The following is a 9,728-nucleotide window of genomic DNA, read 5'->3' on the forward strand; positions in this document are numbered from 1 at the left end:
AAAGCTCTTTGAGGCCTCACCAGAAGCCAAGCAGATGTTGGTGCCATGCTTATATAGCCTGCAGAACTGTGAGCCAAATAAACCTCTTTTCTTTATGAATTATCCAGTGTCAAGTGTTCCTTTATAGCGATTCAAAATGGACAAATACAATCCCACAGTGGCCCATAGCAGCAGCAGTGGGATTTGTCATAGGGGTGCATGGTAGTGCCTGGCTTCCTCCCTCCCTTCTTGGCCTGGTGGAAGCAGCAGCAATGATGGCATTGGTCCCAGGGCAGGACATATTCCTTTGGGAGCTTGGCTCCTAGAATGGCACCAAGCTGTAGCAACTCAGGTTTTGGATGCCTGTGGGACTCTGTGTGAGTATCCTCTCTGGAGCAATGCCTCTGTGCAATCTCTAGAAAACTCCCTATGTTAGTCTCGAACCCACATGGATTGAAGGATTCTCCTGTAGCTAAGATTTTAAAAGACCATGGCAGCACTGGGGAGCCCTGGAAGTCTCCCTCTTATCCTATACCATGTCTGGGAGCTTCTCTTGGCTCCCTGCCAACCCTAGCCAAGCAGGAGGTCTTGCTTCCCTCTCCTTACTAGCTGTCGGTGCTTCCCTTCACTTCTGTGTTGAATCCCAGTGTCTCTCCTAGACAATCTATTTTAAGTGTGAATATCTACTTGCTATTTTGGTTCCTCTCTGTGGAGGAGTGTACTAGCTGCATCTAGTCAGCCATCTTGAATCTTCCCCCGCTTTTGTAAAGTGTTTCTTAATTTAGGTTTCCCTGATGTTTCTTTATGATTCTGTTCAGGTTATGCTTCTGTGGCAGGAATATCACAGGAGCATTGTTGTTCTCTTCTCATTGCATTAGATTAGGTGACACATGATTTGGATTTGTCCTATTATCGGTGATGTTAACTTTGATCATTTGATCAAGGTGATATCTGCCAGGTTTCTGCACTGTTAAGTTACTGTTTTCTCTTTTGCAATTAATATATGTTTTGTGGGGAAATTTTTCAAGACTGTTTAAAATATCCCCGTTGTCATAAAACTTTCACACACTAGTTTTAGCATCCATTGGTGTTTCTTGACTAAGTTAATTATTACTGTGATGAATGCTAAATTGTTATTTTCTAATTCAATTTTTCTTCTATATTTATTACTTGATATAAGGCAAACACTTCTATCTATTTGTGTATGTATGTATGTATGTATGTATGTATGTAGATATATATTTATAGTACCAAGGACTCCTAGCTTACTCAATGAGTTCCAATCTATTACTATCATTATTATTAGATGCCGAAACTGTGTCAGGTCTTTCGTCATGTTCCTATTATTCTTTGAGCACTTCATCACTTTCTGCCTTAAAATAATCCAGGCTCATCTTGTATTTTCCCTGCCCTGCCTTGGAATTAGTCTTTTCTCCAAGGAGTCTTGGTATTTTTCTCTGGGAAATGCATTTAGAATCCACAGTGCATTTAAGGTGTGCTCTTAGCTATTGGGTGTCAGTAACAGCCGACTTAGTGGGGGAATTAGGTACAGAGGTGCGTACATAAATACATACATTTAGATTTATTTTCATATCTATCTATATATAGAAAGTTGTGAGTTCACATCAATATTTCCAATTTCAGTTCAGTACTACAGAGATCATTCTTGTTTTTTCTCTTTTCCTATTTGTAACTATCTTCAATATATTTACTTACCAGTCACCAGTACTGGCTCCCACTTCCCCCACTGCAAAGACACTTTCCTCTCCTAGCTTGGGCTCTAATACCCAGTCCTGGGCCACCACCAGCATGTGATGGGGATGCCTTTCTTTCTTGTCTTGCTACTTTCACACCCACATCATGCCCCCCTCCCCCACCTAGCATGGCTCCATTGGCCTGTGCCCAGGCTGCAGATTTCACCACCCTCCCATTATATGGACACCCTCTTCACTTTGCTCTGTCTCCAACAATCTGTGTTGGGCTGATGCTAGTCCCTTGTAAAAGCCCCTCCTCATATGGCTTGTGTGCTGATACTATTTTCCAGGGCTGCTTCCATCATACCATCCCATAGGAACCTCTTCCTCTGCTGTTGAGGTTCTGACAGCCCATGTTGTACTGTGACCATCCCTCACATGGGGTACCTGGTTCATCTTGCCTGGGCTTCAATGCCCATGCTAGGTTTCTGTTCAACCCAATCCTCCACCCCACTTAGCACCACTTAATGATATTTTCCTTGAATCATTCCAGAAGAAAATACAATTTGAAGTAGAAGATAAACAGCAAGGCAGAAAGAAATGCTTGAAGAACACTTTCACATTTTGAAACTTCTGCATTTCCTTTCTTTCAGTTTACATTTTGGCTCCTACTAGGATTCTTACTTTCAGTCACATTTGAATTGTAGTAAAATGTAGAATTTTTGAATAAAACTCAAAATTTATCTGACATTAAGGCATAAGAAAGAGCAATTCAAATGCATTTTAAAATTACTGCTATGTTATACTTAGTTGTATAATTGCATAATAAAATTACTATTATATCATACATTTGACTTATTGATGAATATGTATAGGAGTTTGTCACTGGAACATTTGTTTTTTCAGCCTGTTTCACTGCATCAGTAGGAAGTTTCATAATATTTCACCTGGAACTACCAGACTTTATTTGGATTCGGTGCATCAAGCTGCTAAGATGTGATACGTTGGGATGCATATGCAAGCTCACATGCTAATGTAATTGCTTGTGTGCTTAAATGCAAGATTTTTCATAATTTTATTTTATGTTATTCCCATAAAACAGTCACATAATGTGTTTAAAACTATATATGCCGTATTATTCAGTAGAGTTCTTTCATTTTGACTTGGTATTGACAAGAACTGAATCCTTAGTTTGCAAGCTTACACAGACTAGCTTCAAGCTCTCTACATTTTATACCTTGTTTCTTCTATATACATCCAGTGCTGGGCACCATAGGTCACATTCACCTGTACCATAGTAGATCTTTGGCCCTACACGTTTGTAAATAAGAGATGGCAGTATTCCTGGAAGTCATCCTTAGGGTGAGGTAGCTAGCAGTAACCTCACTATACACCACAGAGGTGATGAACCACATAAGTATATTCAACTAAATATAAAGTGAATCTATCCCCAGTATATCCTTCCCTTATCTGGATCCCCAAAATGCCTGTGTATAGTCTAATGCCATCTAATACAAAGAGAAGTAGGCTGGGGGAAAACTGATAATTTAACTGATTATGGTGAAACTGTTTTCCTTTTGCAGAATTAAAAAATAGCTATGACCATGTCAAAACAATGCCAGGGCTCCTTCAGAGCTTTAGAAGGGCACAGTGCAAGTGAGTGGCCCTGGAGCATGAGCTTGTTAGTGTCATGGCTCATCTTCCTGAGCAACAGCTGAAGTGGGGTCTCTGTTACTGCACACATCTTTGGAGCCTTGGAGTGCGTTTGACCCTTGTCTTATACGTCTTGGGCCCTGTGATTTTGTGATACCCTGAAACTCAGACCTTAAACAGTTTTCATTCTCAGTAAGTCCGTAGATTTTGGGAGAAATGCAAAGAAATAGTAAAAACTAAAAAGGTATGCTTTTAGTTTGGTGTAAAGGAGCATTTAAGCAGTCTTTCCAACATGGATTATGAATCTCTCCAATAAGTGAAAATGAAATTAAATTCAACTTACATTTACTTGAGAACTTACTACAAGTAAAGCATTATATAGATGATATGGAAAAACATAGAAGTTAGACAAATCATATGGATTAGCTAATCTTATCTAAATGGCCTTATAAAATGGTTCATTAAACCTGGCTTAGGTGATTAAATAAGAAAAATAATTTATTTTTCAAATCAGGAAGTATAACTTTGAATTTGTAACCCTTGGTATCTAATGGCAGTCTATCTTCTTGAGATGAATATTAACCAAAGAGCAGATAATAAATTGGCATTTTAAGACTAGAGTGATTCTGTGTTTCAACAACCAACATGCAGCGGAATAGTCAGTGTGGGTTTATAAAGTAAACTGCTTACACCATCAAAAGATCATGAATCATCAAAAAGCAGAGTTTTGTTATTCAACTTTATATAGCTTTTTACTCACCTTTTCTGTGTCTTTCCTTTCCCTCTAAATATAGGAAATACATGTGAAAGTGATAGAATTAAAGCGAAATTATCATAAAAGTCAATGAAAATAGGTCTTGATAAAAATGACTGCATGTTGAGGGAGACAGAGAGAGAGAGGGAGAGGCTATTGTCTTTAAGGTCTCTTTGAAAATTTTTTATTTTTAATTTTTGTGGGTACATAGTAGGTGTATATATTTGCGGGTTACATGAGATATTTGATACAGGCATGCAAATCATAATAATCTTATTGGGATAAATAGAGTATCCATCACCTCAAGCATTTATTCTTTGTGTTTCAAACAATCCAACTATATTCTTTTAGCTATTTTAAAATGCACAATTAAATTCTGTTTTACTATAGTTGCCCTATTATGCTATCAAACTAGGTCTTATTCATTCTTTCTATTTTTTTTTTGTACTCATTAGCCATCCTTTCTCCTGCCCCTTCTCCCTGACTACCCTTCCCAACCTCTGGTAACCATCCTTCTATTCTCTATCTCCATCAGTTCTAATGGTTTTAACTTTTAGCACCCACAGATAAGTAAGAACATGTGATGTTTGTCTTTCTGTGCCTGGTTTATTTCACTTAACATAATGACCTCCAGTTCCGTATATGTTGTTACAAGTGACTGAATCTCATTCCTTTTTACTCCATTGTGTATATGTTCTATATTTTCTTTATCTGTCAGTTGATGGACACTTAGGTAGCTTCTGAATCTTGGTGATTGTAAGCAGTGCTGCAATGAACATGAGAGTGCAGATATCTCTTTGATATACTGATTTCCTTTCTTTGGGGTATATACCTAGGAGTGGAATTGCTGGATCATATGGTAGCTCTATTTTTAGTTTTTCTGAGGAACCTCTAAACTGTACTCCACAGTGGTTGTACTAATTTACATTCCCGCCTGTGGTACAAGGGTTCCCTTTCCTCCACATCCTTGTTAGCTTTTGTTATTGCCTGTTTTGTGGAAATAAGCTATTTTAACTGGGGTGAGATGATACCTCATTGTAGCTTTGGTTTGCATTTCTTTGATGATCACTGATGTTGAGCATCTTTTCATGTATCTGCCATTTGTATATCATCTTTTGAGAAATGCCTATTCAGATCTTTTTGCCCATTTTTAAATCAGATTATTATATTTTTTTCTTACAGAGTCAATTGAGCTCCTTATATATTCTGGTTATTAGTCCCTTGTTAGATGGGTAGTTTGCAAATATTTTCTCCCATTCTGTGTGTTGTCTCTTCACTTTGTTGATTGTTTCTTTTGCTGTGCAGAAGCTTTTTAACTCAATGTGATCCCATTTGTCCATTTTTGCTTTGGTTGCCTGTGCCTGTGGAACTATTGCTTAAGAAGTCTTTGCCCATTCCAATGTCCTGGAGAGTATCTTAAGCCTCTTAAAATCCAAATCTAGAACGCTTTTGGTGAGCTCTATATTTGATATTGCTTTTGTTCTCAGCACTGCCCAGAATTTTTTTTTTTTTTTGAGGTGGAATCTCTTTATGTTGCCTAGGCTGGTCTTGAACTCCTGGCTCAAGTGATCTTCCTGCCTCAGCCTCCCAAGTATCTGGGATGACATGTGCATGCCACCACATTTGGCTACCCAGATTTAATTTGGGTCCATTTATAGATCAGCCAGAGCCAGACTGCATCTGCTTTTATTGTCCTTTCCTGGAATTATAAAATCTAACATTCTTCACATGCACATGCAAATGAGCCAAAGTAAAGAGGAGATGTGCAGGGGAGGCAAAGATGCTGAGAACCCTCTCTGAGGTACAGTAGAAGGTGGGGAGGGAGCTACTGCAAATCTGAGAAGTCTGTGAAAAGAGATAGCATTGAGTGTGCCAGGCCAGCTAGTCTGCAGAGAGCCACCTTACCAGTTCCCAGTCCCTTCAGCCCCTCACACTCTTTCTTAGGACTTAGTGCCAATGCATTTAATATAAGGAGATATGGGTGTTGGTACTAGTCTTCTGAAACATAAGAAATTAATTTTTTTAGTTGCATCATTTCTTTTAATTCAGATTTTGCAGAGACCGGAGTTCTTATGCATGTAAAGTACTAAGTATTTGGAAATAATAAACATCCATCTTTCATTCTAATTAAGACATGTGTATATCTGGTTTTATTACAGTCTTTCTCTTTCCCAGAAAACTACTTCAGGGGAGGCAGAGACAGATACAAGAAGAAATCTGAACATGTACTCTTTCTGAGCAGTGCTGATATTTCCTGGGCTCTGCGAAGATGGAGGGCACAGAAAGTGGTAATTAGATCAGCAGCCTTTAATGCCTTATTCTTTATGCCTAATGCATAATGTCAGAACAGACAATCCTAATTTTCTACGACCTTAAGTAGGATTATAGACTATGTGGGCTGAACCTTCCGCCCAAGAACCCAACTCAGCTCTGCACTAGAGAAGACTCTTTACCGCCTCCTGGTGGATAAAGTAAGAGAAACATGTTTCCCTAGGGCCAAGGCCAGAGAATCAGTTCATTGGTTAAGTGCTTTTTTTTTTTTTTTTTTTCCAGAGGGGAGAAAAAAGGTGTAGCAATATTAATTGGATGTGGAGCTGTAAAGTAGGCAACATTTTGATACCTCCTTTAATCAAAGGCACTGTCTCTCTACTACATATTGTCATCCCCTGTTGGGCCTAGATACTTCATTGTGGTATTCATTCTGGCCCACTCTTCCTACTTAGGAGGTCTTAACACTTCCCATGATTCAAGAGGAGCTCCTGTCTCAGCTAACTTTGATGGAGGGGGAGCCTCCAACTGGTTGCACATCCTTTAGCTGTTTTGCTCCTGACAGCATTTCCTCCCAGCCTTGACTTCTCATTTCCAGCTATTTGAAATCTTGTTAAATTCTAGATAGTGGTTAGCTAGGAATGGGTCTATGCAACATTGAGTACGCCATGTTTTTCCATACATTTATGCTTCCAATACATACGCAGTGTTTCTTGAAAATTCAACCTCCTCCAACCAACTGATACAATTAACAGTCATTTCTGGAGCCTGGATTATTATTAATTGCTCAGTCCTCAACATCACTTTGCTTCTAGGCCTTTATTTTTCCTGCTTTTACTGACTTCCCATGGTTGTTAATTGAAAGGCAATTATTATTTAAAATTACGCATCAGGTGTTGTGGGAAAAAGTCTGGGAATCCAGCTAATAAGTTGAGAAGTCTGTCTTTCTTTTTGTTACATCTGGCGTATTTCATTATTGGTACTCCAAAAGCATATTGTCTTTATCTGATAAAAACAGTTGGCTACAAGGGCATACTGACGAGCCTCAAGTTGCGGGTTAAATTCTCACCTGGGTAAGGTAACAAAATGCTTGTTTGTGGACACACACTGTGAACAAGACCCGCAATAGCCATCGTGATCACAGGAAAGACTGAATGACACAGTGCATGTTTCAGCTCAGATTGTTGATGGGAAAATGTTAGGTGTTATATCAAATAAAGACCCATTTAATAATAGCTTCTTAGAGTTGGAAGTGACTTTAGTAACTCTCTTTTCCATTCTCTTGTCCAGTTTAGCAACCCTCATGAAACCATTCCCATCAGAGAAGGTGAGTCTTAGCGTCTGCTTGGGCACTGCCAGAGTTGGGGATTACCTCCTTGAGTGGCTGGAAACTGCATTTGTGGGAAGGTCAGCTCATGGTGCTTGGTTTTGAGATAGAAAATGAAAGTTCAACTTCTCTCTTTTTCTGTATATTTATCTCTAAATTTTTAAAACCTGGCCTCATCCCTGAACTCCAATCCCAGTAACAAAAGGAGCTCTGAGTGACAGAATCTTTCCTGCAGAGTTGTTTAAAGCTACTTTGGTGGTAGTATGGGAAAGAGAAAAGGACTGTTTCTGATTTTCTGATTATTGTCTTCTGCACGGGAAAATGGGAGGTAGGCTGCTGGGAAACTTGGTTAGGATAATTCAGGTTAGGATGATTTATTTCCAGAGGGGAGCAGATAGACAATGGGATATGTTCAAATGAGCTATGCTCAATAGTGAAGTTCTGATTCTCATTTTATCTTGACATCTGTTGTCTTTGATATTATTTGGGCTTGTATGCTGAGGACCCAGTATGGTGAAAAAGGAAACAAAATGCCTGAAGAAAAAGGGCTTTGGCATTTTGGGAGCATAAAAAAATTATTGAATGGGGGTAACCAATAACAGGAAGAGCCTGAACTATGGAGTACCAGGGAGAGTAACAGTTTTTCCCTACTCCATTAGATGACCATTAGGATAATTCATTCATTCAATACATGCTTATTCTGTACCAGGTAGCAATGTATACACCAGAACTGCAGAGCTCCTATAAAAAGTGGATGCTTGCCTAGATAGGCTCTGTTTTAGTCATTTGGGACTGTAGTCATTATTGGCAAAGGAAATCATCATGATGGGTCAGCCAGATACTACAATTCCTTTCAACCTTTGGTAGAAATTGTCAGGGAAGCCATGCCAGGCCACAACAGAGGTAAAAGAGATAATCAACTTTAGGCATAGAGGGTATGATTTTCCATGTGTTAACATGTGGTCTGCCATCCAATCTCTGTTTTATTTACTTATTTTTATGCACACTGAAGCAAATTCCAATTGATATGGGCAAATATTACTAATGAAGAGTGTTGGTTTTCCAAGTCCTTTTCCAAACTCTATCTATAATGTGCTACTAAAGTGAGAACAGCAGTGCCTCCCTCTCTGGCATCCAGACATTGTTTTTTGAGCTAGGGAACTTAAGCCTTTGACTAGGAGGTCAAAGCAGCTCAGTTGAGTCTGGTCAGATGGTGTCCTGTCAGGAAGTAAATCTGGAAGCTTGATGTTAAAGAGGGAAAAGCCCCAAGAAAATGAAATAGGACTCAATACATATTCATGGACAGCTTCTTCAGCCAAGGAAGAAGAACAATATGAAACAAATTAAAAAAAATTTGTATAGCCAGACCCTGTGGCTTTATCTTGGCAATTCTAAGAATAATTTTCTTCTGTTACTGTTATTGAAGCATAACTAAGATGGTCCCCAATGATCCCTGCCTCCTAATATCCATGTCCTTGTATAGTTCCCAACCTTTGACTGTGGGCTGGACTCACTGACTCACTTTTAGTACATGGAATACAACAAAAATGATGGGCTGTCACTTCTGAGATTAGGCTACAAAAAGATTTTGGCTTCTCTCTTGCCTGCCCTATCTTGCTCTCTTGATTTCTCACCATGATGAAGCCAAATGTCAAGTTGTGAGTTGCCCTGGAGAGATACTCGCATGACAAAAAACTAAGAGTGACCTCCCACCAGCAGCTAGCAAAGAACCAAGGCCCTCAGTCTACCAGTCTGTGTGGAACCTGTGAACAAGCTTGAAAGCAGATCATGTCCCACTCAATCCTTCAGATAAGACTACATCTCTGGCTAGCTGATGGCAGCCTGGTGAGCAAACATGAGCCAGAGGACCCAGCTAAGTCATGCCTGGATTCCTGACCTACAAAATTATGAGCTATAAATATTGTTTCAAGCAGCTAAGTTTTGGGGTAATATGTCACAAGAGCAATAAATAATGAATATAATAATAAATGTGTATTTCTTTTCCTTTTTCTTTGAGATGGAGTCTCACTCTGTTGCCCAGGCTGGAGTGCAG

General features: G+C 39.2%; 1 annotated feature.

Moving 5' to 3' along the window:
• Positions 430-630: a silencer, noted in NCBI's record as "peak5639 fragment used in MPRA reporter construct". NCBI's record gives its function as "represses an SCP1 promoter by STARR-seq MPRAs in K562 erythroleukemia cells {active_cell/tissue: K562}" and the evidence as "EXISTENCE:reporter gene assay evidence [ECO:0000049][PMID:32103011]".

The sequence above is a fragment of the Homo sapiens genome, chromosome 6, assembly GCF_000001405.40.
Source record: "Homo sapiens chromosome 6, GRCh38.p14 Primary Assembly".
In the NCBI taxonomy this organism is placed as follows: Eukaryota; Metazoa; Chordata; class Mammalia; order Primates; family Hominidae; genus Homo; species Homo sapiens.